At 35.5% G+C, this 20,498-nt stretch overlaps 1 protein-coding gene across 13 annotated transcripts in view; it reads left to right on the top strand.

Annotated features, from left to right (window-relative positions):
• Positions 1–20,498, top strand: part of ZNF148 (zinc finger protein 148) — a 149,686-nt gene that overhangs the window by 87,395 nt on the left and 41,793 nt on the right. For 12 of the 13 annotated variants that reach the window (NM_001348426.2, NM_001348431.2, NM_001348428.2 and 9 more), the window contains 2 exons: positions 8,713–8,836; positions 10,151–10,234. In NM_001348426.2, the coding sequence (NP_001335355.1) occupies positions 8,713–8,836; positions 10,151–10,234 (208 nt within the window). Of the gene's footprint in view, positions 1–8,712; positions 8,837–10,150; positions 10,235–11,806; positions 13,892–20,498 lie in introns of those variants that run through there. The other variant, NM_001348436.2, reaches the window with a different exon arrangement.

Below are 20,498 nucleotides of genomic sequence, written 5' to 3'. Positions count from 1 at the left end.
GTGGTGGGCCTTGCTTTCAATTTTTCTGCTTCTCTTTCACCATGTTCCTGACTTGTCTAAAAGTGAACTTTTCTTTTTCCATATCTCTATCGGATGGCATGCATTGCCCTTTCTTCTCATTTGTATTAGTTTTCCTTATCTTTATATTAAGGTTTCAGGAAAATGTAATACCAGTTATTCATCAGGAAAAGATATAGGATCCCTGTTAATAGGATGTAAACTTCATGAGGGCAGGGACTTCATTTTGTTCACAGCTGTATCCTAAGAGCCTGGAATAGGAGACATAATAGATCCTCAGTAAATATTTTATGGGTTAATGAATGGGTTAGTAAATAAACAAGTAACCCAGGCTGAGTGCAGTGGCATGATCATGGCTCACTGCAGCCTCAGTCTCCCAGTCTCAAGGGATCCTCCTCCCTCAGCCTCCTGAGTAGCTGGGACCACAGGCATGTGCCAACATGCCTGGCTAATTTTTGAATTTCTTACAGAAATGGGGTCTTGCTATGTTGGCCAGGCTAGTCTCAAACTCCTGGTCTCAAGCCGTCCTCCCACTTCAGCCTCCCAAAGTATTAGGATTACAGGCGTGAGCCACCACTCCTGGCCTGTTTTTTTCTCTTTAGTATAGTGATAGCTGAATGTATACAGCATTTTTGGTATTCCTAGAAATTCTCTGAACTCTCTGCAGCATATTTGCATTTTTATAGTTAACTCTTATTTTTTTCTTCCCTCATGTGGTGAGAAAGTCCTTTTTAAAAAGATCATACTGTAATATGATTTTTTTGATGGCTTTTTAAAAATTTGTGATTTGAAATCATAATCATCATTATTATTTATATTTTTGTATACTTTTGGACTTATTAGTGTGTTGGAGCCAGCTTGAGCTGGCTTGCAAGATTTCATTTGCAAATTAGTTGCCAAAACCATTGGTAGCTTATAATTAGCTATGGTGGGAATATTTACACCCTGGAAATCAGCAAATGTTTCTATACCTCCTGATTCCTTAGTTGGTGGTTAAATATTTGCCAGCATACCACTATTTTGGGGACATATAAATATGCCTACAATAGCAAATTTTGAAAAACATAGAGACTAAAATAACCCATAGTTACATTTCCTAGAGATAACTACTTGGATTTTCTGCCATATTCCCTTTCTTTTTTCAAATTTGTGCAGATAGATATGGAGGTATAATATAGAATAAATTAGCTGATTTTTAACACTTGAAATGTAAGCAACTTTTGTGCTTAAAGTTTTTAATGTTTTTTGTAATCATTTATTAGCTACATAATCTATTTCTTAATAGATCATGTTATATTTAATGGTTGTTTTATTGGACATTATTATGTTGTTTGAAAGTTGTAGTCCTTTTGTTTCTGTTTTAAATCATGCTGCACTTAAAATGTTTGAGTATGTATCTTTGTGCACTATTGATCAAAGGGTGTGAACTTTTGGAAAGATTTCTTGATAATGTTACTCTTTTCAGAAATGTTATACCAGTTACACTTCTACCTGCAGTGGACCTGAGGTGTATCTGTCTGCATTCTCACTGGTCTTGAGTGTCTGACTTTGCTTAAGATGGGAGCCTCATTATAGTTTAAATTTGAATTTCTTTAGTTTCTGGTCACACTAAACTTCTAAAATTTTTGTTGGCATTTTATATTTCATGTTTTGTGAAATTCTCCCTTCTTCTTTTCTTCCCTCTCCCTCCACTTCTTTTTTTGGGGCTTTAATGTTTTTCTCAGTAATTTATATCATTTTTGGGGGTTCTTTACATTAATGAACAAATCAAGTTCTTCAGATATAGAATAATACTAGGTTTTATGTAAAAAATTATTTCTAAAATCATTTGTGATAGTGATTGGTTGTTACTTCGGATTCATTGCTGATCTATGGGGTATCTATTTCAAGTGTACTCTCTTCTTGAAATTCTGACTAAAACCCAGATTATCTTCTTATTGGGTGTTGGACTCTGTATTTGGTGATATGTTCTAGGTATTTGTAAATATAGATTAGGTATTTACAGGCTTTAAGCTATTTTGCTTGTCTAATTTGCGATAAACTCATTTATAATGTATCATTTTAGAATATTTCTAAAGGTATTATTTAAGTATTTATATACCTCTGTAGTTGCCAGATGACGGAGTTGTCCTATTCTAAGTATAGTGCGTATAAGAGAATGTTTTAGGGTAGCCCTTTAGAGAATTCTTAGGAAGATGAAGTGACTAGAAACAATATACAGCAGACAGAGGTGTAAGAATAACAAACAGGCCAGGTACAGTGGCTCACACTTGTAATCCTAGCACTTTGGGAGGCTGAGACGGAAGAATTGCTTGACCCCAGGAGTTCAAGACCATCCTGGGCAACATTGTGGAACCCTGTCTCTGGTTTTGTTTTTTTTTTTTTTTAAATAAAGAACAAACAATTATTTTTCAATTGTCCTGGCATGTTACATGTAATGGGACAGGGAATGGTTTTGGACTGTTTTTTAACCACTGGTCTGCCATCTCCAGGTGAATGGGTTTTTTGTGTCTGGAGTCTTAGAACTTTAAGATATAACCAGTGAGTAATTTTACATTTTCTCAGGAGTGTATATAAAAATTTATGCTTCAGAACTTCTGTTAAAATAATTCATTCTGCTCTTTGGTATGAAGAGAAAGAGAAACTTACCCATGTTTGTAAATCAGTAAGTGTTACTTGTTTTAAATTCCTTAAAAACAATTTTAAGTTCCTCAAAGAATTATGATTTATTATGCCTAGAGGACTCCACTCTCCCCCAGCACCTTTTCCAAATCTTAAAATCTTGCCATTGTGAATATTTTGAGTTTGTGTCACCATTGTGTAGTATTAGATTGGGGATCTGCACAAGAAGTATAACTAATGTGATAGAGTTTTAGTAAAAACATCAGAGCTTATAAACATCCATGTAACTATGGCTGCCTTAAAGTACTGTGTTGTTATTCCATCTTTAGCTGCCATGGATTTTAAGCAATAATTGCCTTCTGAACTTTTCTCATATGGCAAAGCTGAGTCTTTTTTTTTTTTTTTTGGAAAACTTAAATGCAATGGGAAAGCCTGATCATCTTAAGGTAGGTTTTGACACTTGAAATTTGCCTAAATACACTTGGCAGCATGCCTGATGAAGAGGGTAACTGAGCTAGGGAACATCATCTAGGTCAAGCTATTTGCATCTGTTGTGGAATTAGCTGTTTTAAGAAAGTAAGTTTTCTACATAATAGAAGCTTACACCTTTTAAATATCAAATTTCATTTTATTTTCACCATTTTTTGGGGGAAATCTTTAAGGTGTTGTTTTCCTTTTAAATCTAGTGTATTTGAACATAATTCAGCTTTTAATGTCTTGAAGCTGACATAAACATTTTTTAAAATTGCGTATTGCAGTTGAAGCCCTCTAGGAGAACAGAGATTTTAGGGCTCTCCCCCATCCACCTGACCCTGCAAATCCACACTGCTAGACTTTAAGTGTTATACTGCTTATAATCACTTCACTTCTCATTCCTTGGTGACGTGCTATTCATTTTTACATTGCTGTATATCTGGGTGGCCACTTAACATCACTTTCCTTTGCCCCTTTGAGTCTGTTTTTGGTGACTGTTATACTCTTAAGCTTGAAAACTTCAAATCTTGACACTAGAAGTTTCTGAATAAATGAGGTATTACTACTGGACTTTGGTATTCACTTGTTACATGAATTAGAAGGTAACAGTTTCCATCTCAGAAGGGTTTTAGGAGGATTGTTGGGTTAACATTAATGAAATCTAAGAATTTTTTTCAGTAAAATATAACAATATTATCTAAATCCCATGTTGTATATATTATATAGGTCTTTTCCACCTCCTTAGTAACTGAATGAGAGAGAGGATATTTTTAATTCCTTCTCTTTATTCTGAAATGTATCTCTCTTTTCATTTATTCAACAAATAATTTGAGTGCCTGTTATGTGCCAGGATCTCTCATCAGGTACTGAAAAAAGGAACTGGGTTTGTTGTAACACTTTAGGTGATCTGAATAAAAATTCATTATTCAAAGTTATGCTGAACTGAGGAAGAGCACTTTTCACACATCAGATAGATTATATAATAGAGAATCCTTTCCCAGCAATTTATTATATATTGTTGGTTCCCAGAAAAGATTTTAGACTTTGGTATCAGAAAGATTGAATTATGTAAAATAAGGAAAATTTAATGAAAAGAAACAGAGAAGTAGATATACCAGACATTTGCCATGCTTTCTTCTACATGTTACCTTGATTTAGGAAGAAGTAGCTTTAAAGATGAACTGATTATAAGACGGAGGATGCAAACAGGAAGTATGGAATAGTAAGAAAATGAAGGAAGAAGATTGGCAAAATAATAGAGTTTTATTTATCTAATTTTCCCAGGAAATTGTGTGTCTTGTATAAATTGTTTTTCCATAGAACTGAACCCTAACTTTGAAAAAAAATCTGATGTAAATCTTTCTTTAGAAAATATCACCTACTTCTTTGCCTAATATTCAGGAAACAGGGAAGAAACAGCCTTTTTCTAAAACCCAGGGTCATTTTGCTGAACATAGTTGTTGTGCCATGCTTATGATACAGTGAATTTCTTGTTCTGGTGCTGTCAAAAGCTTACCATTTAAAAAGGAAATTTGGTGATGAGAAAAATCTAGTACTGAGAAACAATAAAAAATCTTGATGAATGAAAGAAAGTGACAATGTTAGAGTAGGTTATTAACGATGACCAGGACAGTCAAGTTGCCGTGATGGGTATTACTCAGGGTGACTTTGTTATTTGTATATCTTTGGACTTGCACTATTTTCCATTTCTCATTGGATTTGGAGAGTAAAGAGAATTGTCACAGCTGTCATTCTCCATCCCCAGTTGCAGTAGAACGTCTCATAATAGGTGAGAAATGTAAACTCTCTTATCTAATTAGTCTTTTGAGTTTTGGTGGCTTCAAAGTTGATTTTGATTGATTCAGGAATATATGATAAAAACCTATAGTGTTTAGTTTAAAATATGCTTTAATAATTTTAGTAGTACACATTTGAATGTGAAAAATCATGTCTGCCTTTTAAGAAAACAGAACTTTTTCTCAGTGAGGGGTGTCAGGTTTCATTTATTCAGTGGCAGTGATCCTTATGGAGTGAAAAATCTCTGAATTTGAATAGGCAGACCTTAGGGCTTTGCCTGATGAAAATGGGTATATTATTTAAGATAACCTTTACCATATGTGTATATTTAGGTAGCTGGCTGGTAATAGATTTGTCTTAAAACAGAAAATATGTCATAATGGATATGAGATTAAGAAAGCAGATTAACTGAGAAATTCCATTTGATACTCAATTTTTTTCTATAAAGTCTTGTTTTAAATTTACTAAACAGATAAGAAAAAAAATGTAGTGTGTTGAGAATTAGAGTATTACTAATTTCTCCACTTGCTAAAACCTGATTGCTTGGTCTATGTAATATACCATATTTCTCCTGAAGTAGCAATGACAAGGGGCAAGATAAAGCATCTGAAGATGTCTAGCAGGCATCTTAGAATTCAAAATTTTAAACATAAAATTCTTCAGTTGTAATGGTGTCCATATGTTGGGGAAAAAAGAAAAGCAAAGATGTTTTATGGAACCAGTTGCAGGTAAGACTGCTAATCTCTAAGGCAAACACACTCAGCTGGTAGATCACATTCTACTAAAAGATCTTGAAAAGGTGTGAGCAAGAAAAGAAGGCAAGTCTATACCGGGGAAGAAAATTTTGCCTGCGTTAGTGTGCTATTTGTGTTCTGCTAAGGGATTTTATTCTTTGCCTACCCGCTTCTCTCACTACTCAGTTATCTGAAGACTAAAAAATTGAAAAGTAAAGTATTGCTTTTAGCAACAAATTTAAAAAACAAGAAAGTGGTAAGCTAGGAGGAGTAATTGTTATGGACAGCAGGCAGCCAGGTCCTTTGACAGGTATAGAGTCTCCACTATGCTCCAGATACCATTTTGAACACTGAGATTATAAGGGTGAATAAAAATCAGTTGGATATATTTAAAACAGGTTACAAATTGGAAGGGCCATTGATGCTCATCTGAGTCAAGATGAGTTTACTCTATGTCCTTTATTACTCTGGCCTAAAAAGAAAGTAAGGAAAATATAAAATGTCCAAGAATTTGGTGTTTCTGTCTTTGAACTTAAAAAAAGCTAGATTTTCCTGTGTGTTTATCCACAAGGCAGTGGTAGCTGTTTCATCCATAAAATTCACCTTGAATTAAGGCTTGAATCTACAATGAAAGGCAGCAGTACCTCCAGTGCCAGAAAACAATGACCTAGAACTCCTTAACTCTTCATAAAAGGGCTTTGTACAGTCAAGGATTACATCCGTTTCACATTAAGCAACTTGGGCCAGATTTGTTCTTTACAAAGCCTTTCCTTGCAGTTGCTATGCCACAGAAAGCTATTGAAGTGCCATGTTTTTTGGCAGTTGGATTTTCTTATTTGTTATCAACATACATGAAAAAAAATACCTGGTGCTGTCTTGTTTTTAGTTCCATTTTATATAAGTATTTAACATCTTTTTGTTTGTTTTATGTATAAAATATTTTGAGTCATATTTTAAAAGATTTTGTGTGTTTTCCTTTTGCACAGTGTTAACTTGCTTATTATTATGTGACTTGGAGGGGTTGAAAAAATTCAAAACTGACTGGCCCAGAGATGAAGCTTTCCACTTTCTTTGACTCTCCTCAGGAAGCTGTGACACCCACTTCCATTCTCCTGCCAAATGTTTCCCTTCCATGACTTTGGTGCATAGACTTTGAAGCATTGTTGACCACATTGGCTGTTTGCCCAGAATCCAAATGCCCTGTATAATTTGCATAATAATTACCACTGATCTGCATATAGTATAGGCTGAACTGTCTTCTTGAATTTAAAGTAAAAATGTTTTAAGGATTAAAGCTTTTTTCCCTTACGTACTGCCCTTTTCTAGGTTTGAGAAGGGGTCATAGCTGTGTGTTTGCAGGCCCTAATCAGTTTCCACAGTTCTTTATATTTATTTCCCAGATTTCTCTACCTTTGTTGGACAGTTTCTTAGCTCCCATTCTGTATGCCCACACCTACAGCATTGTTTCCCTCTCACTGGCCATACCCCTCCTGATCAGATCTTCTAGTTTTCTTTGCTGTTTCAGCATAATGTTGTGCCTTTTTTTTTTTTTTTTTGCTTTCGTCAATAATGAAAAAGGAATCATTATTTTCACTCTTCCACATGTCTGATGAAAGGCAATTTTTTTTTTTTTTTGAGATGGGTTTTACTGTATTGCCCAGGCTGGAGTGCAGTGGCATGATGATGGCTCATTGCAGCCTTGACCTCCTGGCCCAAGTGATCCTCCCATCCTCAGCCTCCCAAGTAGCTGAGAGTACAGGTGTGTGCCACCACACCTGGCTAATTTTTGTATTTTAGTGGAGACGGGGTTTCCTCATTTTGCCCAGGCTGGTCTCGAACTCCTGAACTGAAGTGAGCCACCCACCTCAGCCACCCAAAGTGCTGGGATTACAGGCTTGAGCCACCATGCCTGGCCAAAAGGCAGCTTAATGTTGCACATTGAACAAGTTGTTGATAAATTGGAATACATGCAGCCTAAGGTGAGTTTCTCTGTGGTACCATCCAAACCAGGCTTGCAATACTCTTAATCTCAATAAGCCCAGAAAGACAAGGTTGCTTTGTCTCTTGTCTTCCTTCTTTTTACCCACTTCTATTTTTTAAAAAACTGAATTTATAAGTGCTGAATAATTTTCTTATTCAGTACTTATGCCCCAGATGGACCCCATACCCACTTCTAATTTATTTATTTGACAAATATTCTTAGGAATATGTTTAATAATAATTTAGTAGTTCTAGAATAACCTTAGTGATCCTAGACTGAAACAGACCATAAATTCTACCATATTGTAACTTGAAAAGTTAGTGTTCTCTTTTTTTTTTAGTAATAGGTAACCACTTACATGGTTCAAAAAAATGTGTTAAGTGGACAGTGTAAAACCTCCCTCCCATTTTATCTCTTGTCTGCCCAGTTCCCCAGCCATCACAATCAAGGTTATATACTTCTGTATATATATCCTTCTCAAGTAGTTTTTATGCCTATGCAAATATATATTCCTATATGTACCTTTTATATACAAAAGTTAGCAAAACTATACACTGGGTTCTAAACTTTGCCTTTTTTTTTTTTAACTTAACAAATCCTGACACGCTTTTCATATAAGTATATAGAGAGCTTTGTCATTTTATTTCACAACCACATAATATTAAATTGTATTCATTTTCCATGATTTATTTAATTAGCCCCATACTGATTGATATTAGATCATGTCTAAAGGCTTTTTTCCTGCATATATGAGAATTTGAAATTGAAAATATACCTGTGTTCACCCTAACTGAAGACTTAGGAACTCCATCACGCATAAGCATTACAGAGGAGAAGGCCGTGATGAGATCTTACTTAACCAGCTTCCAAGGTTTTATTAGTGATTTTTGCTCATTCTGAGTCACATTGTACTTTCCTACAGTTAATGATAACATTATTCTAATAGTCTTTTCAAGATCATTTAAGAACAAAATATTTCATAATCTGTGGTGACCGTTGTTTGCATTATCTTTTTTTTAAAATTACTATTTAATTACATTTTAAAAACTTATTTCTTTTGTTTTTGCCTTTTTTTTTTTGAACTAGATCCTTACAATAAATGAGGATGGATCACTTGGTTTGAAAACCCCTAAATCTCACGTTTGTGAGCACTGCAATGCTGCCTTTAGAACGAACTATCACTTACAGAGACATGTCTTCATTCATACAGGTATTTCTTGAATTAAAATGGGCTTGTGGCCATTAAAGTTATTATCTTTGTTATTTTCATCTTCGTGTAACTGTCATTCATTCCTAAGACCATAGCTAATCTGGCATTCCAAATCAGAGATTTTGTAGGCCAGAATGTCAGAAGGAAACCAGGAAAAACTCTTAAGTGAGAAAACAATTAGCATGGATGTGTAAAATTAATTAAATAGTCTTAATTGGACACCTGTTTGGCTTAATGTGCTCCATTTAGCTAGAGAAATGATTAAAGAATGTATTATTAAAAGCCTGTTTATCAGTGTTCATTTTTTGTGTGTGCAAAATGTCCAGGCAGAGTTTAAAACATGGATTTGGAAATCAAATATAAATAAATGATAGCTAAGATAATGAAATTGTAGAGAACAGTATTAAAGATGACAGACCTTTGGGTAAACAAACTAGACATGTAAGATGAAATGAGGAAGAAAAACAGTTATAAGGGAGATTCATTGAACTAGGAAAATAGTGTCCCAGAAGCTAGTAGAAGATAGAATTCCAAGCAGGATGTGACCAACAGTGCCAGTGCCCTAGGAGGATAGAGGTTAGAGAACCAAGAAAAAATCTTTGGAATAAATAGCAAGGAGATCACAAGTAGCTTTTCAGAAAGCAGAGTATAAGGGTTAAACCGCAAGTGGGCAGTGAAGAATTTGACTTAGAGTAGACTACTCTTTTAAGGAGGTGTAGTGAAAGAGAAGGAGAGAAAGTACTAAGGTAGAAGTGTTTCAGGACTGAAACAAGGTTTCTCAGCATAGAGCAGGCCAGAGAATACTTTCCTTAAAAGGAAAAGCCCCAGCAGAGAGAGAAAGTTTGAAGAGACAGGATCTTTTAAAAAAGGGATGTTTAGAAAGTTCTGAAGGTTCTGAAGAAAATATGTAAAAGGGCATAAATGGATGGTTAACTAGGGAGAAAACAGGATGGGCGCACCTTCTTCCAGATAAAAAGGAAGAAAAGATGTTTAGGACACGTGAGAACCTGTATTTCTTTCTCACCCCATGATGTTAAAATTCAATTTTAAATTGTTTTATTTATTTCCTTCCCCCCCTTGAATATATAGATCAAATTTAATCTTATTTTTCTGTGATTGTGAGAATATGAATTTTTAAATCCTGGGAAAAAAATTGAGAGGACATAAAATTCTGTTAATAACATTAAAAATTTGTATGGCTATTTTGTAATTTTCCAAAATTTGGGCATCTAAGATTTTTCTTTCCTCAGAAACAGTAACTAAAAACCGTTGTTTTATTCAGTAACTAATTTGTGGATGTGAAATTATTTTAAGGTGAAAAACCATTTCAATGTAGTCAATGTGACATGCGTTTCATACAGAAGTACCTGCTTCAGAGACATGAGAAGATTCATACTGGTGAGTGTTAACCACCCTTACTAGGTTCATTAAAATGATTATTTCAAATGGAGGGAAGAATTTTTAATAAGTGGCAGTGACTTGCTGCCATTTCCATTGGTTTAGACTATAAATCACAGGTTATCTTTTTTCTCCCTTCAATAAATCAATGTTAACTGTTAAGACTTAACTTTAATGTCCAAGCCCAAGAAATTACTTTGAAATAGAGTTGCATAATAACCTAAAATATATGTTTAAAGTCACAAAAGGAAGGAAGATTTTCTGAAATTGCTATTTCCTTAGGTGTTTACTGAACTCAAAATTATCGTTAATTAGTCTGGGGTAGGAAGCAAATTCCTGACTCCTAAAGCAGCAGTACAATTCATTCTCTTTCTTTCCCTTTCATGTATATACCTTACCCTTAGACATGTAATCTTAAAAAGTTGAGAACTGCCAATTTCTCAGTCAAGTTATTAATGATTTAGAAATTAAATATTCTAGAGGATTACTATAAAGGAACACATACCGTAAAAACCTAAGTCTCATTTTAGAGCAAATATTTATTTGCATCTATTTTTGCCAACGGTAAAACCAACTTTTATAAGTAACTTTGATTTAGTAGTCTGTTGACTTTGCCTTTGTTGCCTCTAAGCATGTTGAAAAGTGTTTCTTTAGAATTGATTTCCAGTGTTTTGCTTTTTGTGATGGAATAAAAGCAGAGTTGGTAAATTTGTATAACTTTGAATTTTACATTTGAATAGAATTGAGAATTGTGATAATATGAGAATATTGAAAATATTTAAGTTCTTCATATTTTTCTGTTTTAAGTACTCAAGCAAGTACCTGCCCAGTGTTGTTATTTTGATGTGTTCTCATGGGACCTGCAGTATTTGTGAAAGGACAGTTTGTCATATAGAAACAACCTTTTCTGTCTGATAACTTTTTTTTCAATTTTCTTTGCCCCCAAAAAGAAGCCTGAATGTGTCTGGTCTGCTTAAATAAAACTTTAACTGGGCTGGGCTCAGTGGCTCATGCCTGTAATCTCAGCACTTTGGGAGGCTGAGGTGGGCGGATCACTTGAGGTCGGGAGTTCGATACCAGCCTGACCAACATGGAAGAAACCCCGTCTCTACTAAAAATACAAAATTAGCCGGGCATGGTAGCACATGCCTGTAATCCCAGCTACTCGGGAGGCTGAGGCAGGAGAATTGCTTGAACCCGGGAGGCGGAGGTTGCGGTGAGTCGAGATCGCGCCATTGCACTCCAGCCTGGGCAATAAGAGTGAAACTCCGTCTCAAAAATAAATAAATAAAATAAATAAATAAATAAATAAATAAAACTTTAACTGTGCAACATGTCTGTATGCTTGGATGTTCTACTTTTTAACAATCATTTTGCACATTACTAGTTTCAGTTTTTTAAGTAAACGTATTCATCTCTTTTTATTAGAAGGGGCTATACTAGGCACTGTGGGAGAAAAAAATTTATAGATTTTGTGTGACTTATAGCTAAATTTAAATTCCTATATAACAATAAAACCTGATCAGATACAAATGAAAGTGATTATTTTTGTGTGTTCTTAATACCTAATAGGTTTTGATATTTTACTCATTCATTCAACAAAAATTTATTGAGCATCCAGTGTTTTTCAAGCACCAGAAATAGATAACAGAAGGCAGTTTCTTTCTTTGGAGTTTACGTTCTTGTGGAAAAACAGACGTGGAAAAACACACATATAAGCAAGCACAGTGCAGTTAAGTGTTGTAGAATTTTATACAAAATTCTCAAGATACTATTGTGCCCTGAGGAAGAGACACATGTGCTGTCCGTTCTTAGGGCAGGTGTCACAGAAAAGCCACATGAGGCTAAGTTAAGAATATATGTGTGTGGGTGGGTGTGTATCTGAAAAAAATATTTTTGAAACAATACTCACCTTCATTGCACTGTGATATTTTGTGTGTGAGTATGAATTCTTTTTTTAAAAAAGTGCTGGTCACAATCCTGTAATCAACTGCACTAGACCATGGGGAATCTTGGATTTAAGCAGAGTATAATGGGTTGTTAATGTTTGTTTAGAATTTACTAAGTACCAGAAAACTGTGTTAAATATCTCATTTAGTCCTCACATTAATCTTGAAAGGCAGGAGTTATTACTGTCCCCATTTTATAGATGAGGAGGTAGTAAGAAGTGCACATAAGTTAAGGAACTTTCCCAAATGTATATATCTAGTAAATGATGGAACCAAGATTTCAGCTCAAGCCTCTGTGAGTCCAGAGTACACATGTGAAATCACTGGCTATGCAGAATGGGACTAGAAGCAGAAAGTTATATTTGGGCCTTTTTGAGTTTTTCTTGCTCTGTCACTAAGCCAATTATGGCTTAGCCTTCCTATAGGTATAGTAGCATCTAAAAGTGGTAGAAGCAAAGGCTGGAGTTCTCATGTTAGAGAGAACAGTGTAGAAGAAGATAAGGAGTTGAGAGGAACCAGGGCAAAGCAATCACTAGGGTTCCTTAACAAAGAAAAGTTCTTTTGAAGAGAGAATCAATTCTGCCCTATTGTTCCCTCCCTACTAGGTGGAACTGATATAAGGGGATAGTTTTCCCTTCTTTACTTCGTATTCTTGATTCTTTTTATAGATTCTTTTTAAAGACAGTAAAATGTTTTTTGTTAAACCTATTTGGGAATATATATCTAGAACCACAAATAGGTCTCCATCATTTATTATTCTGTTCTTACTGTTCTTCCTTTCATTTTCTAAGTGACTTTTATTTTTGGAGGAGGGTAGTGCCCTGAAGTTTGCCCATGTGAAGGCTTTCTTTATTTGTAGGCCCTTAGTTTAGAAGAATGCATTTAAATAGTTACGGCATTAAAAAAGATTTTCCATATTTTTATCCATTTTTAAATTGTCAAATGAGTAATGAGTCACCTAACCGACCCTCAAAGGTTGGTGAAAACCATCTGCCCTTAAAGGCTCCATTTTCCATACATCCTTCCTTCTCCCTTTAGGTCTCATTATACTGTCTTCTCCTGGTCCCTCAGGCCTCCAAGCCCATTCTCTGCCCCTTTGCAACATAGTTAAAAATCATTACTTGCTTGGTAGCTGTGGCCAACAATAAAGAAACCTGTGTCTTATTAAAACCAAGAACATAGTTGATTTGGGTTCAAAAGGAAAAATTTTTAATGTGCTCTAGACAGGCTATTATTTAATTCCATTTCCTACATTTGGGCTTGTCTATGAAACACCATTTTAGGGGAGAGTACTTTTTCATCCAGAGGCTGGTCCCTGAAATTCTGGTTTAAGCTTTATTCCTTTAGACTATGGCACTGAAAACTGCCACATTGTAAATATCCTCAGGACTGCTATTTTTGGCAGTTATGGGAGATTTACCTTTTTTGTGAATATTATATTTTTTGTGAATATTACAGATCCTTTATTTAGGTGATGTTTTGGATGTGAGAGAGAAGATGAGGATTTGAGGCTAAGGTCGAAGATAATTATAATTGATCATTTTGTTTAGGGCCAGGATTACTGATCAAGCGCATATCAAGGTTAAACATTTATCATCATTGGCAGATTTCCTTGTGGATCAAGTACTTTTGTCTGACGTGCCCTTTCCTTGTCTAAGGTGCCTATTTTAAAAATGCATATATAGAATAAATGTTAGAATGGCATATATCCATAGTTGTGTTATTTTCTTCTCACCCCGTGAGCATTTTACTCTAAGAAACTGCCAGTCTTATCACCAAGAGGGATTGAGGAGTAAAAAACTTAAGTACAATTTTTAATTTTATTTTTGTAAATTCCTCTAAATAGTAAGCCACAGAATACCTATCCTGATGTTCTGTTATACAAATTATGGTAGCTTTTTAGTTATGCCAGTTTTCATAATTTATTTTTTATTTCAATTAGTAAAAATGTTACGAAGCTATTTCTATAGGGAAGTTTTTATAAATGATTCTCCTCCCGGCCGGGTGCGGTGGCTCACGCTGTAATCCCAGCACTTTGGGAGGCCACGGCAGGCGGATCACGAGGTCAGGAGTTTGAGAACATAGTGAAACCCAATCTCTACTAAAAATACAAAAATTAGCCAGGCGTGGTGGCACATGCCTTTAGTCCTAGCTACTCGGGAGGCTGAGGCAGGAGAATCGCCTGAACCTGGGAGGCGGAGGTTGTGGTGAGCAGAGCATGCCATTGCACTCCAGCCTGGGCAGCAGAGCAAGACTCCGTCTCAAAAAAAAAAAAAAGATTCTCTTCCCAAAAAAAAGAGATTTTTGAAAAAACTAAATCACTCAGAATTATATATGTTCACTAGGTTTCTTTTTCCATAAGGTTCTTTTTTAAGCCTTTAGTTCTTAGATGTATACAGTTCTCTCTGTAAAAATATAAAAACACTGGAAAACCTGTCATCTAAGTTAGTGTTCTTCATGCCTGAAAACACAGCAGTCCTCTTTTTCTCTTTACTATGACTTTTATTCACAACTGTATTAAATAGCTGTATTAAATAGCTGAATAATAACAGCATCTTATTTTTGTAAACCAGTTGGGCTAATGGGGTGGGGTTAGAGAGAATGTTGATTTACTCTTGACTAACTTAGCTTAACCCTTTATATTTCCCTTAGTATGGTTCAGTTATCGATAAAAATTAGTTTTCTGCTCACATTTTTCAAGCCCTAATTTATAGTTAATTAGCTCTAATAGAGAAGTCTTATGAAAGAAAATGTTAAAGACCTACTTAGAGTTTAACTCTTAATTTGTGAGGATGAAGGAAATGAATACTGTTTGTGTAACTGAGAATGTTGTGTGCACTACAAGCTCCTGGCATTGTGATTGCTGAAGCCCAGACTGCACTGGCATGGACAGAGCTTGCCAAGGAAGTATTAAGCAGAGAAGTATGGATTGCTGGGACTGACATTTTCTGCTTTAACAAAGCTTTTAGAAACCAATTTTTTTTTATCTGCAAAGCTGTTAATAATTCATACTAAAAGATTGGTTATACATAAAACATATAAAAGCTTAACACTATATATCAAAATATCCCAATAAAGACATAAAAGAGATCATTTATATGTGTGTATATATGTATATAATTAAAGTATGGTGTAATTAAATATATAAATTGATAAAAACCTGATATATATAAAAATATTAAACCATACTTAAATTTTTTTTGTTTAGGAGGATAGGGGAAGTCATCCAGAAGATTGATTCCATTTTATTATTATGTCTTACAACAGAAATATGGCAAATCAGAGGCTTTATAATGAAAGTTGCCCAGTTTTCAATTAAGTGTATGTATTTTATGTATGAGTATCCCTACCCCTCAAATCTATATAGAATGTTTTTGTTAGTTCATAGCAGCTATATTTAAAAAAGATGTGTAGCATTTGTTTTAACAAGTCTTTAACAAATTGAGACTTGGTTGAAGTGGTCTCATTCTTACATATAGTCATTGAATGAATGAACATGTGAATCATGTGACTCACAATTTGATGAAGCATATGTCAGATTTCCAACACAATGGTGCAGACAACCTGTGCTTTAGAATTTCATTGAAATAGACCAGACAATTCAGATTGGTGTCTTCATGGAAGAGATAGAACTTAAGTGATCTCAAGAGTGAATTTGATTTAGGCTTTGTAATCCATGTGTTGCATGGGAGTCAAGTGTCATCACAGGAACCATAGGTAGTAAAGCAAAGGTATGATGGAAGCCAGGACCAGAAAGAAAATCTACAGTGTACTGAAGGAAGCTGGGAATCGTTGGGCAAGAAGAGGTAAACAGATACTCAGATAATCGATTCAGAAACACACACAGGGTAGCAAGTTAAAACTGAGGCAGACCGGCAAACACCCAGACAGTTGCAGATGCTGGACAGGAGGCCAAGCAGTGTGTCATATATCCTGGCTTAAAAGAACCAGAAGGAGGCAGGTACTTCATTGCAGTTTAAAAAAACCTAGCAATTCCTAAGAATTCATGATTATCATAGACCTAGTGATACTTAAGTAAATTTATTGAGTACCTGTTCTCCACCAAGCACTGTAACCCAATACATAAATTATCTCACTTTATCCACACAGCAGTCCTGTGAGGAGGGTACTGGTATTCCTGTTTTACAGATAAGGTTCAAAATGATTAAGTCACCTCCCTCAGTGCGTATAACTGGTAAATAACAATCTAGCTCTTCGAAGTTTGTGCCCTTAACCAATATGCTGTTGAAAGGGTAGATCAAGCACCAAGGAAATTTCGAAGTGACATCAACTTTTGGTTTTAACCAGGGAGATTTTTATTTTGTTCAGGTAAGGGCAAAGCCAGTACTGAACCTGGCCTGTAGCCTGTATGTATGTAGCCTTCTACGCTTCGCTGAAACGAAGTCTGTGGGTGTAGGGGTAAGACCGGATTTCACAATGGAGTGGGCAGAGGCAAGATGTGCATGTAAATGGCCATTCTGAGGAAAGCAGGAAGGACGGGGAGAGTGGGGGTGAGGAGATAAGTCTAGAAAGCTTGATTTTGGAATTGCATTGTCTAGCCTTGATGCTAAGCTAAGGAATGTCAGATTTATCGTGTAAAGCATTATAAGATACCAAGGCATTTAACTGCCATGTTAAAAAAATACTGTTTTGTGAGGAAAGTTGGAAATTTGGAAAATAAGTTACTGTTAATTATAACTAATATGAAGAAAATTGTATAATATTTAATATTTTTATGCTAAAATATTTACTCATAATTACAAATGTATTAATCAAATTTAGGTATTTAAATTTTTTTAAAACAAATGGAACAACATAGTTAAGCTTTAAGGAATGTAATATTACTTTAGCTTTGGTCAGTTTGAGAAGTAGGCAAAACTTAAATACTTTTTTTGTTTTCAGAGATGAAGTCTCCCTCTGTTGCCTAGGCTGGAGTGCAGTGGCATGATCATAGCTCACTGCAGCCTCCACCTCCTGGGCTCAAGCAATCCTCCTGCCTTAGCTTCCTTGAGTTTCTGGGACTACAGGTGTGCACCAGCATGCCTGGCTAAAGTTATTTTTCACAGTAGTTTCTTATTTTTCTTATTTGTCCATAGTATGGTTTGGTTTGCCTTTTTAAAATATTTTCAAAAACTGTAGAAAATGTACTCTGAAACAAGATAAGTTTCTCTACTCTTTGACTTGTTAACCTGCCTTCCTTTAATGTAGGGCCCCCTGAAAAATTATTTTACATTCTACAGAAGATGAAACATTCATTCAGTTGGGTCTAGATATAATGCTTTGTTTTACAAATTATTTCACACCATATTCTTTTGGAAAAATACTCAATTACTTCTTTAAACTCAAACTCCTGAAGACCTCAGGATTTTTGAATATTGGAAGCACACCACCATGCCTGGGTAATCTTTTTTAATTTTTTGTATTTTTTTTTTTTTAGAGATGGAGTCTCCCTATGTATCCCAGGCTGGTCTGGAACTCCTGGGCTCAAGTGATCCTCCGATTTTGGCCTCCCAGAGTGCTGGGATTATAGGCCTGAGCCACTGTGCCTAGCTTCAGTGTGCATTTTTAATTATTCCAGAAAATATACTCAGTTTACTCTTAATTACCTAGGAGTGAATTGACGAGGTCATAGGTTAATTATTAAACTTTTTTTAATTAAAATTTTTACTTTAGATTCAGGGGGTACATATGCAAGTTTCTTACAAGGGGATATTGCATGATTCTGAGATTTGGGCTTCTATTAATCCTGTCACCCAGACAGTGAACATAGTACCCAATAGGAAGTTTTTCAGGCCTTTCCCCCATTCCTTCTCTTCTTCCTTTTGGAGTCCCTAGTGTCTATTGTTCCCATTTTTTACGTCTGTGTGTACCCAAGATTTAACGCCCACTTATAAGTGGGAACATGTGTTATTTGGTTTTCTGTTTTTTATGTTAATTCACTTAGGGTGATTGACTCCAGCTGCATCCATGTTTCTGCAAAAGACATGATTTTGCTCTTTTTGTGGCTGTGTAGTATTCCATGGTGTATATGTACCACATTTTCTTTATCTAGTCCACTGCTGATGGTTACCTGTGTTGATTTTGTGTCTTTGCTTTTGTGAATAGTGCTGCCATAAACGTATGAGTGCATGTGTCATTCGGTAGAATTTTTTTTTCCTTTGGGTATGTACCCAGTAATGGGATTGCTGGGTCAAATGGTAGTTTTGTTTTTACTTCCTTGAGAAATCTCCAGACTGTTTTTCACAGTCGCTGAAATAATTCACGTCTACCAATAATGTATAAGTGTTCCCTTTTCTCTGTAGCTTCGCCAACATGTTTTTTTTTTTTTGACATTTTAATAATAGCCCTTCTTAGGGATGTGAGATAGTATCTCATTGTGGTGTTCATTTTTTTTTTTAAAGATGATGTTGCTATGTCACTTAGGCTGGTGTGCGATGGCATGATCTGGGCTCACTGTGGCCTCAACCTCCCGGGCTCAAGCGATCCTCCCACCTCAGGCTTCTGAGTAGCTGGGACTGCAGGTGCACGCCACCACTTGCAGCTAATTTTTGCTTTTTTTTTTTTTTTTTTTGGTAGAGACCGGGCTTCACCATGTTGCCCAGGCTGGTCTCAAATTGCTGGGCTCAAGCGATCCACCTGCCTTAGTCTCCTAAAGTACTGGGATTACAGGAATAAGCCACTGTGCCTGACCTTTTTCATACGTTGATTGCTTGTATGTCTTATTTTGAGAAGTGTCTGTTCTCATGTCCTTTGACCAGTTTTTAATGGGGTTGTTTTTTGCTTGTTGATTTAACTGCCTTACAGGTTCTGGATATTAGTTTCTTGTTGAATTCATAGTTTGTGAATATTTTCTCCCATTCTGTAGGTTGTCTGTTTACTCTGCTGATTCTTTTGCTATGCAGAAACTCTAGTTTCTTTAAGTCCCACTTGTCAATTTTTGTTTTTGTTGCAGTTTTTTTTGTAGAGATCAGGTCTTGCCATGTTGCCTAGGCTGGTCTTGAACTCCTGGCCTCAAGCAGTCCTCTTACTTTGGCCTCCCAAAGTGCTAGGATTGCAGGTATGAACCACTATGTCCTGCCTGTCAGTTTTCATTGTTGTTGCAATTGCGGGACTTAGTCATAAATTCTTTGCCAAGGCTTATGTCTGGAAGGGTATTTCCTAGGTTTTCTTCCAGGATTTTTATAGTTTTTGTTTTACATTTAAGTCTTTAATTTGTCTTGCATTAATTTTTGCATATGGTGATAGGTAGAAGTCCACTTTCATTCTTTTGGATATGGTTAGCTAGTTTCCACTGCACCATTTATTAGGGGTCTTTTCCCCATTGATTATTTTTTGCCAACTTTCTTGAATATCAATTGGTTGTAGGTGTGCAGCTTTTTTTTCTGGGTTCTCTATTCTGTTCCATTGGTTTGTGTATCTATTTTTGTACCAGTACCATGCTGTTTTGGTTACTGTAGCCTGTAGTATAGTTTGAAGTCCTGGTTTTGTTCTTTTTTGGCTAGGATTGCTTTGGCTTTTGGGGCTGTTTTTTTTTTTTTTGGTTCTATATAAATTTTAGAATAGTTTTTTCTATGTCTGTGAAAAATGATATTAGTAGTTCGATAGGAATGGTGGTGAATCTGTAGATTGCTTTGGGAAGTATGGACAATTTTAATGTTATTGATTCTTCTAGTTCATTAACATGGAACTTTTTTTCGTTTGTTTATGTCATCTGTGATTTCCTTCAGCAGTGTTTTTTAGTTCTTCTTATAGAGATCTTTCACCTTCTTGGTTAGATGTATTCCTAGGGTATGGGTATGTGTGTGTGCATCTAGTGTAAATGGGATTATGTTCTTGATTTGCCTCTCAGTTGAATGTTATTGGTGTATAGAAATGCTGTTGATTTTGTATCCTGAAACTTTACTGAAATTGTTTATCATGTCTAGGAGCCTTTTGGCAGAGTCTTTAGGGCTTTCTAGATACTGAATCATATGGTCAGCAAAGAGAGATAATTTGAGTGTCTCTTTTCCTATTTGGATGTCTTTTATTTCTTTCCCTTGCCTGATTACTCTGGCTAGGACTTCCAGTACTATGTTGAAGAGGAGTGATGAGAATAGGCGTCCTTGTCTTGTTCCAGTTCTTAGGGGGAATGTGTCCAGCTTTTGCCTGTTCAGCATAGTGTTGATTGTGGTTTGTCATAGATGGCTCTTATTATTGTGAGGTATGTTCCTTTGATGCCTAGTTTTTTGAGGGTTTTTATAATGAAGGGATGCTGGATTTTATCAAAAGCTGTTTCTGTGTCTATTGAGATGATCATATGATTATGTGATTTTTGT

Source organism: Homo sapiens, chromosome 3 (genome assembly GCF_000001405.40).
Source record: "Homo sapiens chromosome 3, GRCh38.p14 Primary Assembly".
Classification (NCBI taxonomy): domain Eukaryota; kingdom Metazoa; phylum Chordata; class Mammalia; order Primates; family Hominidae; genus Homo; species Homo sapiens.
The sequence above is the reverse complement of the archived record's forward strand: the minus strand, read 5'-3'. Positions and strand labels throughout refer to the sequence as shown.